This window comes from Homo sapiens, chromosome 3, assembly GCF_000001405.40.
Source record: "Homo sapiens chromosome 3, GRCh38.p14 Primary Assembly".
Lineage (NCBI taxonomy): Eukaryota > Metazoa > Chordata > Mammalia > Primates > Hominidae > Homo > Homo sapiens.
This window is the reverse complement of record NC_000003.12, coordinates 17632263-17646903: the sequence shown is the minus strand read 5'-3', so window position 1 is coordinate 17646903 and position 14641 is coordinate 17632263. Positions and strand designations below refer to the sequence as shown.

At 35.3% G+C, this 14641-nt stretch overlaps 1 protein-coding gene across 65 annotated transcripts in view; it reads left to right on the top strand.

Moving 5' to 3' along the window:
* TBC1D5 (TBC1 domain family member 5) overlaps positions 1-14641 on the top strand; it is a 585470-nt gene that overhangs the window by 95728 nt on the left and 475101 nt on the right. The window lies entirely within an intron of this gene.

The following is a 14641-nucleotide window of genomic DNA, read 5'->3' as shown; positions in this document are numbered from 1 at the left end:
GAGGGGTTGGAACAGGGGAGGGTTGAGAAATTACCTGTTGGATACAGTGTTCACTATTTGGGTGATGGGTGCACTAGAAGCCCAAACCTGCACATTTACCCATGAATCTAAAATTTAAAAAAAAATCAGACTTTATCCTGAGAGACCATGGATACTACCAACTGTAATCCACTGAAAGTGTGGTCAGATTAGCATTTTAGAAACAGTCCGCTTGCTAAGGGTGAATGAACAAGAGAGAAGCAAGGACATGGGGATTATTTCGTGAACATTAGTCCAGGGGCATGATGGTGATTGCCTGAACCAGATTATTGATGTAAAAATGGAAAGATCGACAGATTAAAGAGATATATAGTATTTAGGGAGCAGGCCTCAGTAATTGAAAGAGGAGCAAGAATGATGCATAGGAATCTGCCATGACAAAATCGGTGGATGGGATGCTATTCAGAGATAAGTAGCGGGCTTGATGATGGTAGAAAATTGAGTCCAAATTCAGTTTATGGTGCTGTTTAGTTTTTTAGGGATGCCATAACAAAGAACCAAAAACTGAGTGGCTAAAAACAAAAGAAATTTATTGTTTCAGTTCTAGAGACTAGAAGTCCAGAAATCAAAGTGTAGGCTAAAGGTTCTAGGGGAGAATCCTTTCTGATTTTTCCAGCTACTGTTGTTTGCTGGCAGTCCTTGGCTTGTGGATGTATTATATTACTTCAGTCACATGGCCATCTTCTTTCTGTGTGTCTCCACCTAATCTTCCCTCTGAGTGTCTGTCTGCATCCAAATTTACCCTTCTTATAAAGACATCAGTCATATTGGGTTTGGGCCCATCCTCATCACTTCAGTTTAATTTGATTACCTCTGTAAAGACCCTATTTCTGAATAAGGTCCCATTCTCTGTGTGACACTAGGGATTAGAACATTGATACATCTTTCATTGATAGATGACAGAATTTTAAGGAGAAACGAATAGGATTTGATGCTTTGAATCAGTATAGAGTAGGAGATCGGGAAGGGGAAAGAGAGACATGAGTTGTCATGTTTTCCTGAGAGAATGCTGGTGCTACTAGAGAAATAGAAAAGTAGGGGGGAAGGGGAAAGAGCTTTGTGACAAGGTGAGGGTGGTGGGAAATAAGTTTCATTGTAAGCATGCTGAATTTGGAGTTGTAGTTGGTAGTAGAATTGGTTCATGGTCTAGTCAGAATTCAAGAAAGAGATTTGTACCTAGATTATAGCTTTTATGAGAATGTTTAGGTTCTGTGAGGGAGAGGATACAAAGAGGAAACCTAAGCCTAGAAAGGAAACTAAAGAGAGAGTGTTACTTTGTTGAAATGGATGCTTTCATCCATTGTAGAAAAACAGTTTCATGCACCCATCTATTCCTTTACTCTAAATGTCAATTCTAGTAATGTCTGGATAGTGGATTTAGTTGCCGAAGTGGTCGCTGCATGAACAGAAGTAGAGTTACCAGTTCCTGACAGCTGCGAGTCAGCCTCTGGGCATCTTGCTAAATTTTCAAGTATAATTATACAGTAGACTTCCTTTAACAAATTCCGTGTTCCCAGCTATAATTATAACTGCTTTTCTTGCCTATAGCCTGTTCTTTGTCTTACTACTCTCCTCTGTATCTCCCCCTGCTGGTTAGACTTTTCCTCTGGTCATTTGGGATCTGAGAAAATAGGAAGCTGTTTTTCCTAAGCATTGCATAACCAATTTCTTTCTTCTCACTCTACTCCAATAGACATTTCAGTAATAAGCAATGTTTTAAAGCATAGGCTAGCAGTATTCTATATTATATTTATATTTATCTTCAGAGAATATGCAGATACAAATTAGGTACCTTGTAAGCTTTCTAAGCAACTGTCAGAAAATGACTACCACAACTTCCCCAGTGACCCCGTTTAATAGTTAAGACTCTTAAATAAAATCTTGCTCATGGCCATGCTTTAGACCAAGAGTGTTTTGTTTTGTTTTGTTTTGTTTTGAATAAATTAAAATTTTCACCCAAAAATGAAGTCATCATAAATCCTGCAACCATAATCTTGCACTAGTTTCCAGGACTAATCATGACAGTAATTTGTAAGATCAGAATTATGAGTGGGATTTCCTGTTTTCTCGTGTATTTTTGTCTCCCAAATATCCATTATGAAAATAAATCACTTTTAAAAATGACTTGATGTCCTTTACAAAAATATTGTAGTTTTCGGATGATAAAGTTTAGGAATATATTTCCACATCACTTAGATTAGATTCTGAGTCATTTTAATATCTTTCTTAAGAAGTAATTAAAATGTGTAGTTTTTTGAATGTGCAGAAGGAAACTTCAACTTTTGTAGCCTGCAGTGGAAGTAGTCTAGAAGAAATTATGGATTGTTGTCAGTACTTACTCATTAATATTTGTTATGTGCCAGGCACTGTGCTAGTTGCTAGTTTACTGTGATTTTAGTTTGAAGAATGATATTAGATTAAGTAGGTTTTACTTATAATAGTTGAAATATACTTGGGAATAAATAGTGTATCAAGATTGCCTATTAAAATAATTCCGTGTATTCTGGGTGACGTTAAGTGCTATGAAGTAGGACTTCTCTTACATAGTAATTGGTTGACATTCTTTGACCTCAGTGTAAGACTGAAGTATTTAATCAACAAACACAGAGGATAAAGTTTTGATAAATAAACCACTTTCTTTAAACCTTTAGAAATAAACTTGAAGTCTTTTGGCATTAGATTGATGGGCTTTCCTTTTGTGAAAGAGTAAGTGAATAATTTAAGCTTATAATTCATGTTTGCAGGTCCTCATCCTGTCATAGGAATAATAGTCTTGAAAATTGGAGCTCTGGAATTCACCATTCTGAGAGATATCTCCTTACTGGTATAATTTTATGCTTATGTGGCAAGGTTTCAGGTTGAGGAATGAGATCAGATTTGCAGGGGCAGAATATTTGCTATCCTCGTTGTTTTGGTTCCTGAGGAATGCTTACCCCTTAGCCTCAAATGTGCTGTGGTATTAGCTACTTTAAAATAGATTGCTCAAGACTCTTTATTTGGAAAACCTTAAATATGCATCGTGATGCATTACTTGCAATAAAAAATGAGGCTACAATTATATAAAACAAAACAGTACAGCTGCTGACAGATGTCATTAGCGACTTACTCAAACACAGATCCTTCCAAAAGGAACTGCTAGACATCGGATTCAGGGAGTTAAGGTCATTATGACTGAATATGAAATACTGTTGTCCACTACATTTATTGTTGGCTTTTTGCATTTAACTTTTTGATAATTTTTTGGAGACCTTGACATTTGATACAGTTTAAAAACCATTCTTTTAAATTACAATTAATAAATGTATAAAGAATGAGGAAAATAGAAAATCACCATGAGGCAAACACCACCGTAATAATTGTTGCAGGCAAGACTCATTAATGGATAGCAAAAGTAAGGGTGAACATTTAAGGAGAAATAGAATATTTGTATAGGTCTAAAAAGTATATTCATGAGATGTTTAATAATTACAAAGAGAAAAATAGTAACTTTATGGAGGAGACAGCTGATAGACACTAAGTGATGAAGGTTAGCATCAACAGTAATAAGATATATTAACATCTGATATAATACGATACACCAAAGAGGGCACATCACTTATATGATATTCTTGCCAAAAATATATAAGCTCAGTTTCATCATGAGAAGACGTTAGACAAACTCAAAATTGAGACACATTCTACAAAATAACGGACTAGCACTCTTAAAAAATATTACAGTCATGAAAGAGAAGGAATTCCCACAGATTGGGGGAGGCTAAGGACACATGACAACTAAAGGTAATGTGGAATCCTGGATAGGATTCTGGAATCAAAAAAAGTCATTAGTGGCGTAACTGACGAAATTTGAGTAAGACCCACAGTTTAGTTAATAGTTTGAACCAATGTTAATTTTATGATTTTAATAACTGTAATATAGCTATGTATGGTGTTTTCATTAGAAAAACCTAATTGAAGGTTATGTGGGAATTCGGTGCTATTTGGGCAACCTTTCTATAAGTATAAAATTATTTCAAAATAAAAAGTTAAAAAGTCCCTTTTGGAAATTTGATGTAGTACGTTCTTACTTACCCTGTGAGACTGTGAAAGTGCTCTTCTATTATAATGAAATGTCTTAGTTTTAGTAATGAAATGTCTTGGGTTTTATCTTGGGCAGAGTTCCAGGATAGACTCAGCACTTGTTGCTGACCACAATTTGTTGTCTCATTTCTCCTAATCATCCTTTGATAACAATTGTAGAGATACCTGAGTTGTGTAATTTCTAAAGAGATGTTAATTGGCCTCCACTGTAGTTAGTTGACGAGTATGTGGAAGAATTTGAAGATTAGAAATATGGTAGATGACCTTCAAATCAAAAGTGAGTGAATAGTAGGTATCGGGGGTATTTGGATTCTAGTTCTGACGGATACTGACTCTGGGATCTTGAGCAAATCAATTTGTCTTTCTCAATCTCCTTTTTCATCTATAAAATATCGATGATAGGAATAACTCTACCTTATATGGTTTGTAAAGATCACATCAACTAAACATGATAATATATATGGTTATATATAGAGAGCACGTTGCCTAACTGCAGATTGCTTCCACTTCAGTCCACTGTGAATGGTGCCTCCTGGAGGTGTGCCAAGTACTGTGCCCAGAACACAATGGTCACCCTCAGTTAATTGACTCTGATTAAATGAGAAAATACCTTTGGAAGGATGTTGTGAGTTGAAATACTAGAAAAATAAAAGTATAAAAAATTTTAAATGTTATAAGATTATTAACCAAATTGATGTAGTTTTATAGGATTTTCATAGCATAAACCCAAAACCTATACAAACTAACCAATTTAGGTCTTACTCAATAATTAATAGTACCTGTTTTTGAATCAATAAAAGAGCAATACTATCTAATACTGTTTGTAAGCAACAGATTGGGGGCTATTTTAAAACATTGCATTTTATTCTTTTTTGTGTAGGGGAAAAAAGTCATTAGTCTGCATTTATAATCAGGACTAGCTTCCTGTAAAATTATTTAACTTTTTATTTATAGAATTTGAAATTTACAATTCTAAATACAGCAATAGTAAGGCACTGCATTTTTGCAGGAAACAAAAAGCACAATTAACATAAAGTTAGAACCAGCCACAAATAAAATATTCCAGCAAACTGTGTAAGAAAAAAAATGCTCTGGGAAGCAAATGCCGAGAAATGTTACATAGGTGGCCTTATTACATTGGAAAGAAAAGAATGTAGAAGATTAGTAGCAGTAGTAGTAGGAGGAGGAATAGGAGGAGGAAGGTGCGTAGCAAATGATAGTGAATAAGCTCTAAGTGTTAGTTACTTTTCTAAGCACTTTATGCAAATCATATTAATCATATTATTTAATCCTCCCAATACCTTATGAGTTAGGTCCCCACTTTATATATGACATAGCTGAGGCTCAGAGAGGTTAAGTAATTTTTTTTCCCAAAATCTTGCAGCCAAGATTCAAAGGCAGGATGTTTGGCTCTAGAACTCATGCTGGTAACCACTATGCACACTCCCTCCATGAAACCAATAGCCACCATCTATTGATGTACAGAATGTAGTTTGTGTATTTTTTGTGTGTGAATAATTTTGTTAATGGTACCATGGGATTTTCCTGGATCAAGGGCATGATTTAAGTAAGCAATGGACTAATTCATAGGACCCCTGGTGTCCTAATAAATCAAAACCCACTCAAGAATACCTCAGCAGTAAGCACATTAACTGTCTTCCTAGATGGATTGTTTTAAAAATTTTCCATATCTGCATAAAGTATATTACGTACGATAATTTCACTTAATTGTTCTAACTTTTAATAACTGTCAAGTAGTAGATGAAAGGAAAGCAGAAAAATGGTAAAGTGTGGGTGTGGAATTACTTCACTTTTTTTTTTTTTAAGGCTGAGATTGATTTAGAATTTTTGTATTTCCTGGAAGAATATCCTGTGGCTAGTAGGAATATTTGATTTCTTTAATAGATTCTCACATAGTAGGGCCTAATATCTAGCTGATTGAATTAGTATTATTCTAGGTATAGAAATAATGAAACTCCATAGTTTGTTCTTTATGAAAATATTTTATTTCAAGTTATTTCTTTTCTGCTTGACAAAAGGGCATTGCATTTTTGCTTTAAAGAGAGGCTTGTGATGTTTTGTTTCATTTTTTTCTAGCTTGGACTGTGGCAGAATCAAATGAGTAGTAGTCTTTGATGACTAACACTTGTTCATTTGTTTCCACTGCAGAAATCTTTAAAAAGGTATAATGACTAAATTAGTTTATTCTTAGACATTATGTTTTCTTTTTCTTTGTCTTCTTTTATAATGTTCTTTTTTATAACATTGTCCTTAGCCCTAAAACCTAACTTTCAAGTTCTAAAATAATTCTTCTTTTAAGAGGAAATTGATATTTTGGGTGGAAGGATTTGGCCAAATCTGAGATTCCCTATCATAATTAAAATAAATCTTTGAAACAGTTTTTATTAGTTTTAATAAAGTTTATTTAGTTTTAATAAAGTTAAATAAAGTTTAATAAAGTTTATTAGTTTTAATTCAGATAAGCTAATTCAGGCTTATTTTCTCTTAAGTTGATTTTTTTTAAATAAAAAGAGATTATCTCCTTTAGCTACACCAAATGGCACCTGATTTAATAAGAATGTTCTAGCTCTATAAAGTTAAAGGGAGTCAGGAGATACCTTTGTAGGAAATGTGGAGTTTGGCATTTATTGTTATACTGGTGGACTCAACCCCCACACCTTGCATCCTCTGTATTATATTTCTCTGTGGTTATCTCACCTTTGTCTTTTCTCTGTAGAGGTGAAGGGGGCTGTTTGTATAACTGTGCTCTTAGCTAAGTATAGAGTGGGCTAGAGCAGGGATGGCAAATACATGATCTCATGTGCATTCCCTCTCCTATGCTTGTTGCGACATCAGGTCATGGCATACTTTCTTGCTTAGCCATAGGGCAGTTTCATAATTTTCCCATCTTTAGGGAGCCAGAAGTTTCAGTGTGAGTGAAACCTATTTGCTATTCCTGGAGTAGAGAGGTTGGGATGATTACCAAAAGTTCTGTACCTGTTTTTCCTTCACGTCTAGGATTTGATGTAGTCTAAGAGTAAGAGATCTTACTTTCTTAGGTTGATGTGTTCTAGCAGTTTAGTGACCTTCAAAGCGTACTCAGACACACTTGAATTTATTGTGACAAAATTGATCCCCTCAGACCCCCTTTTTTATGGTGGAAACCTTCTTTAGATACCACCATAGTTTATTTTTTGACAACTCTCCTATAAATTTACACGCAAAAAGTTATCTTTGGTGAGGGATGGGGAATAGTTTGTGCTCGTGCAAAAGGTATGATTCATCTTTTCAAGTGTACAATTCATAGTTTTTTTTTTTTTTAACCAAATTGTGTGGCTGTCACCATGACTCAGCTGTAGAACATTTTCATTCCTCCACTGTGATTTCTTATGTACATTAACTCCTAATCCCCATTCCCCCAACCAAAGGCAACAATTTATTTATTTATTTTTTAGTGTTTATAGCTTTGCCTTTTCTGGATAGTTGATATAAATGGAATAATATAATATTTGGTCTGTGGTGCCTATCTTTGTCCAGAGCATAATGTTTTTGAAGTTTGTCTATTTTGTAGCATGGTATCCGTAATTTCTTCGTTTTTATTGGTGAATATTACTACATTGCTAGTATGTCTTGTCAAAACATTCATCATCTGTCAGTCCATTCCACGGACATTTATGTTGTTTGCAGTTTTTGGCTATTATTAATAAATCTGCTAAGAATATTTGTGCTCAAGTCTTTGTGTGAATATTTCTTTTCATTTCCCTTGGGTAGATACCTAAGAGTGGGATTGGTATGTCATATGATAAATTTATGTTTAACCTTTTAAGAAACTTCCCAGCTGTTTTCTGAAGTGGCTATACTGTTACACACTCCCATTAACAATGTATGAGGATCCCCATTTTTACATCCTTGTCAGTATTTATTATTGTCTGTATTTTTTATTATATATTCTTTTATAACTTAAAATTTTCTCTCAATATTATTTTTAAGATTTATCCATGTTGATACATGTAGCTCTTACTTATTCACTGCTATGAAATGTTCATTGTATGAATATGTAGTAAAAATCCAGCCATAATATGAAAAATGGCTTCTTCAAATTCAGTTGTATAAAATGTAGAGTTGCATTATTGTGTGGTTATTGAAAAACAGTACTACTTTTATTCATCTGTACTGTTGCAAAAGTTACAAAAGTGAAGATGGTGAAATTTATACTTTATATTACTGCTGAGACAGTCTGAATTAGTCACAGGGCAATTTTTTCCTAAGTCAGTTCCATTTGCTTCCACAGAAAATAAGAATTTTAGCTTTATCAGAGAAATGGGCAGTGAAACTACAGACTCAGAAGCCAGTCACAAAAGACCATATACTAGATGATTCTTTTCATATGAGATGTCTACAGTAGGCTAATTTATGGAGACAAAAAGCAGTTTTGGGGTTGCTAGGGTAAGGGGGATTGGAGGGAGATGAGGAGTGACTGTTTAATGGGTATGGGGTAATTTTTGGAATTGAGTAATAAAAATGTTCTAAAATTGACTGTGGTTATGCTTACACAACTCTGTATATACTATAATCAATTGAATTATACACTTCAAATGGATGACTTGTATGGCATATTCATTATGTTTCAGTATAGCTGTTAAAAAATAAGATGCATGAGCCTTTGTAGAACATGTCAATAGTATTAAAAAAAAGAAGAAGAATAAAGTAAAAAGTACTTCACAATTATTGTCAATAATTGTGGCAATATGGCATCATTTTAAGTGACTGCTTAATAAAATTTCATTGAGTAGATGTACTATAATTTGCTTAATTAATTTCCTAATAGTAACTGTTTAGATTGTTTCCAATAAGTAATGTTGTAAGTGGGATCATTGTATATATATTTTTGTGCACTTGTCTTTTCAGGATAAATTTTACAAGTGAAATTGTTGGGTCAAAGATTAAGTGCATTTAACATTTTAAATCATATTTCTAAATTACCGCTCAGTAAGATGCTCCAGTTTGCCTTTCCCCAGTGGTACGTGATAACATATGAATGGCCATACTCTTGCCACTGCTGGATATTGTCAGTGTTTTTTATCTTTATCAGCTGGGAAGAAATTAACTTATTTTTATTTGCATTTCTTTGTGCAACTTGTTATGTGTCCCTTAAAAACTTTTTTTTTGTTCACTTTTTGTCCTTTTTTCTACTGAGGTGATGATCTTTGTATTAGTGTGTAGAAAGTCTTTTTATATTAAGAATATCTACTTCGGGTCTGTTATATAAGATAAAAATATTTTTCCAGTTTGTGTATATTTCATATTTATTTATGGTGATTTTTTCCCATTGCACAAAAGTTTTAAATTTTTGCATAGTCATATTTGTTACTTGAAAACATCCATAGAAACTCGGCTACATTCCAAGGTTATAAAAATATTATTTTATATTTTAAATTTATCTTGGGGCCAGGTGTGGTGGCTCACGCCTGTAATCCCAGCACTTTGGGAGGCTGAGGTGGGCGGATCACGAGGTCAGGAGATTGAGACCATCCTGGCTAACAGGGTGAAACCCCGTCTCTACTAAATAAAAAAAAAAAAAAAAAAAAAAAAAAAAAAATTAGTCGGGCATGGTGGCACACACCCGTAGTCCCAGCTACTCCTGAGGCTGAGGCAGGAGAATTGCTTGAACCCAGGAGGCGGAGGTTGCAGTGAGCTGAGATCACGCCACTGCACTCCAGCCTGGGCGACAGAGTGACACTCCGTCTCAAAAAAAAAAAAATAATAAATGATTTTATTTCTTAGGTTTAAATTTTTTATCCATTTGGCATTCATTTAGTATAAGAAGCTAAGGAGAGATCTAGTTAACCCTACTGTCTTACAAATTTTTATCATTATCAAATGCTAAATTATCACATATCCTTGAGTAGGTCACTTTTGAGTTTGTTGGTAAGGTCTGTCAGTTGGTAAATCTATTCTTATGCTACTACTATATTCTTTTTTTTTTTGAGACGGAGTCTCGCTCTGTCTCCCAGGCTGGAGTGCAGTGGCATGATCTCGGCTTGCTGCAAGCTCCACCTCCCGGGTTCATGCCATTCTCCTGCCTCAGCCTCCCTAGTAGCTGGGACTACAGGCGCCTGCCACCACGCCTGGCTAATTTTTTTTTTTATTTTTTATTTTTAGTAGAGACAGGGTTTCACCGTGTTAGCCAGGATGGTCTCGGTCTCCTGATCTTGTGATCCGCCTGCCTCGGCCTCCCAAAGTGCTGGGATTACAGGCGTGAGCCACTGTGCCCAGCCTATATTCTTTTAATTATTATAGCTTTAAATAACATATTTTAATAACTGGTTGACTAATTTCTCTTATTACTCAGAAAGGCAGCATAATATAAAGAGTTTTACAACTTACTAGTTCATTGCATGACCATGGGCAAGTTATTTAACCTTTTGGTCCCTCCCATAGTTAACAGGAATAATAAAAGTATCTCATAGGGATAGGGGAGTCACAGGATCAGAAATATTATCTTCTGCTTTATTAACTTTTCTCTCATTACTGGATCTTTCCCATCAATATGCTTATATGCTGTTTTTTTTCCCATCTGAAAAACATTCTTTTTTTTCTTGATATGGAGTTTCGCTCTATCACCCAGGCTAGAGTACAGCAGCGAAATTCACTGCAATCTCTGCCTCCCGGGTCCCAGCGATTCTCCTGCCTCAGCCTCTCAAGTAGCTGGGATTACAGGTGCCCACCACCACACCCAGCTAATTTTTGTATTTTTAGTAGAGGTGGGGTTTTACCATGTTGGCCAGGCTGATCTTGAACTCCTGACCTCAAGTGATCTGCCTGTCTTGGCCTCCCAAAGTGCTGAGATTACAGGCATGAGTCACCGTGTCCGGCCAAAACATTCTTTTAAAAATGTCACTTGCCCTCCCAGCTTTTGTTCCATTTCTTTGTTCATTTTGGCAGTAAAACTTCTGAGGAATTGTTTATACTTGGTCTTTCCAATTCCTCTCCTCCCATTCCATCTTAAACTCATCACAGTTAGAACAGAAGCCTGCACCAGTACCCTGAATTCATTCTGTTCTTTACCTTTTCATTAGGATAGTGTCAACACTCAGTCATTTGACCTTTTAATTTTTTTTTTCTCTTGTTGCCCAGGCTGGAGCAGTGGCATGATTTCGGCTCACTGCAACCTCCACCTTCCAGGTTCAAGCAGTTTTCCTGCCTCACCCTCTCAAGTGGCTGGGATTACAGCCATGTGCCACCATGCCCGGCTAATTTTGTATTTTTAGTAGAGATGGGGTTTCTCCATGTTGGTCAGGACGGTTTCAAACCCCTGACCTCACGTGATCCACCTGCCTCGGCCTCCCAAAGTGGTGGGATTACAGGCGTGAGACACCACACCCAGCCTTGACCTTTTAATTGTTCTATCTACATTTATTGCCTTGGTGATTTCATCAATGTTATGTCTTTAAATACCAAAGTGATCAACTTACCTCTCTTACCTGAACTTCAGGCTTATGATCCATTTAATGTGTTTGACACCTACTTTTAGCTATCTGAGTGTCATCTCAAACTCAATATACTAAAAACTGACCTCCTGTTCTTTCTCTTCCAAACATATTTCACCTGTAGTCTTCCCCATCTCTGTTGATAGCAGATCCATCCTTCTAGTAGCACAGTCAGAAACAGTGGAGTCATCCTTGACTTACATTTTCTACTTGATCATTGTTGAAAGTAAGAAAGCTGCTGAAAGTTGTAGATTTAGTTTATAGTATTGAACTCATTATTTTTGTAAATTTTTTTGTTTCTATATCCACATATAAAAAGCATATAATCTACAAGTATCATTTTACTTTCATCCTAATTTTAACTGTTACTTAATTTTTGTGTTTAATTGTATTCGATAGCAGATTCATTTCTTTTTTAAAAATGTTTTAATGTTTAATTTTTGGGGGTACATAGTATAGGGTACATGGGATATTTTGATATAGGCATGGAATGTGTAATAATCACATCACGGAAATTGGGTATCCATCCCCTCAGATATTTATCATTTGTGTTAACAATCCAACTATTCTTTTAAGTGTTTTTAAAAGTACAATTAAATTATTATTGACTGTAATCACTCTGTTGTGCTATCAAATACTTAGTCTTATTCACTTTTTTTTTTTTTTTTTTTACCCTATTAGCCATCCCCACGTCCCCTCTATTCCTTCCTGCTACGCTTCCCAGCCTCTGGTAACCATTTTTCTACTTTCTACCTCCATGGGTTCAATTGTTTTGGTTTTTAGATCCCACAAATAAGTGAGAACATGTGATATTTGTCTTTCTCTGCCCGACTTATTTCAGTTAACATAGTGACCTCCAGTTCCACCCATGTTGTTCCAGATGATAGGATCTCATTCTTTTTTTGTGGCTGAATAGTACTCCATTGTTTATATGTAGCACATTTTCTTTACTCATTCATCTGTTGATGGAAACTTAGGTTACTTCTAAATCTTGGCTATCATGAACAGTGTTGTAACAAACATGGGAGTGCAGATACCTCTTTGATATACTGATTTCCTCTCTTTTGGGCATATACCCAGCAGTGGGATTGCTGGCTCATATAGTAGCTCAATTTTTAGTTTTTTTGAGGAATCTCTAAACTGTTCTCCATAATGGTTGTACTAATTTACATTCCCACTAACAGTGTAGAAAGGCTTCCTTTCTCCACATCCTCACAAGCATTTGTTATTGCCTGTCTTTTGGCTATAACTATAAGCCATTTTACCTGTGGTGAGATGATATCATATTGTAGTTTTGATTTGCATTTCCCTGATGATCAGTTATGTTGAGCACCTTTTCATATTCATATTTTGACTAAAATATTAAACTGCTTTGGGATCAGGATTCAATGACTCCTGAATTGTGTGAAATAATATTAACTATTCCCAGGAATAGTAAAACACGAAATTTGGAGTTCCTAGAAGGGTTGGGCCATATCTAATAATATGTTGTTGATTGATATCAATTCCTGTAGTATTTATAATTTTATAATTAATTTTTAAATTAAATGTATTGAGAACTATGCTTAATTTTTAAAAAAGCATTTATATTTAGTGTTGGAATGATTCTAATCCAAAGTATATTATTCTACACTCTCTTAAGCATAACAAAATGCCGACCTCTTTAAGGGTAACTTGGATTGAAAGATAAAATGCTGTTTACTTCCAGATCCTTAGCTCTGTTCTCTCAATGATTAACAGCATTATTATTTTTTTTTCATCTTAGAGTCTTAAGTTTTAGCCTAAGTAGAACATTTACCTGTTCTATGGAAACATATTCTCTGACCTAAATTAGGGTGAATAGTTATTTTTTCTTTTTTTGAGATGGAGTCTCGCTGTTGTTGGAGCGGGCTGTAGTGCAGTGGTGTGATCTCGGCTTACTGCAACCTCTGCCTCCCAGGTTCCAGCAATTCTCCCTCAGCCTCCCAGGTAGCTGGGATTTATAGGTGTGCACCACCACACCTGGCTAATTTTTGTATTTTTTAGTAGAGACGAGACTTCACCATGTTGGCCAGGCTGGTCTCGAACTCCTGACCTCAGGTGATCCACTCGCCTCGGCCTCCTGAAGTGCTGGGATTACAGGCATGGGTCACCGTGCACGGCCGGATGAGTAGTTTTTTAAATGCTTAGATAATGGATATTTCAGGAGGGTGTATTAAACCTTTTCTTATTTTGTTTCTTTTTGAATTGTTATTGCAGATGGTGAAACATGTCATTAGGAAGAAGGAAAGAATATAGACAGAATAAAAGAAATTAATTATGTTAATACTTGGAATAAAGTTATAATTGTTGGGGAAAAAGGGTGTATTATCACTATAGGCATACCTCAGAGAGATTGCAGGTTCAGTTCCAGGCCACCACAGTAAAGCAAAGATCAAAATAAAGTGAGTCACATGAATTTTTTGGTTTCTCAGTGCATATAAAAATCATGTTTACACTATATTATAGTATATAAATGTATAATAGCATTATGTGTAAAAAACAACGTACATACCTTAATTTTAAAAAAAAGCCTTCATGCTAAAAAATGTGAACGATCATCTCAGCCTTTAGTGAGTTGTAATCTTTTTGCTGGTTGTGGGTCAGTCAGTGTGGATGTCTGCTGACTCATCAGGGTGGTGGTTGCTGAAGGTTGGCTTGTCTGTAGCAATTTCTTAAAATAAGACAGCAGTGCAATTTGCCGTATCAGTTGACTCTTCCTTTCATGAAAGGTTTCTCTGTAGCATGTGATTAGGTTTGATAGCATTTTACCCACAATAGAACTACTTCTTTCAAAATTGAGTTTAGTTCTCTCAAACTCTGCTACTGCTTTATCAACTGATTTTATGGAATATTCTAAATCCTTTGTTATCATTTCAACAGTGTTCACAGCATCTTTACAAGGAGCAGGTTCCATCTCAAGAGACTACTTTTTTGCTCATCCATAAGAAGCAAATTCTAATCCAGTCACACTTTATCATAAAATTTCAGCAATTAAAGTCTTATCTTCAGGTTCC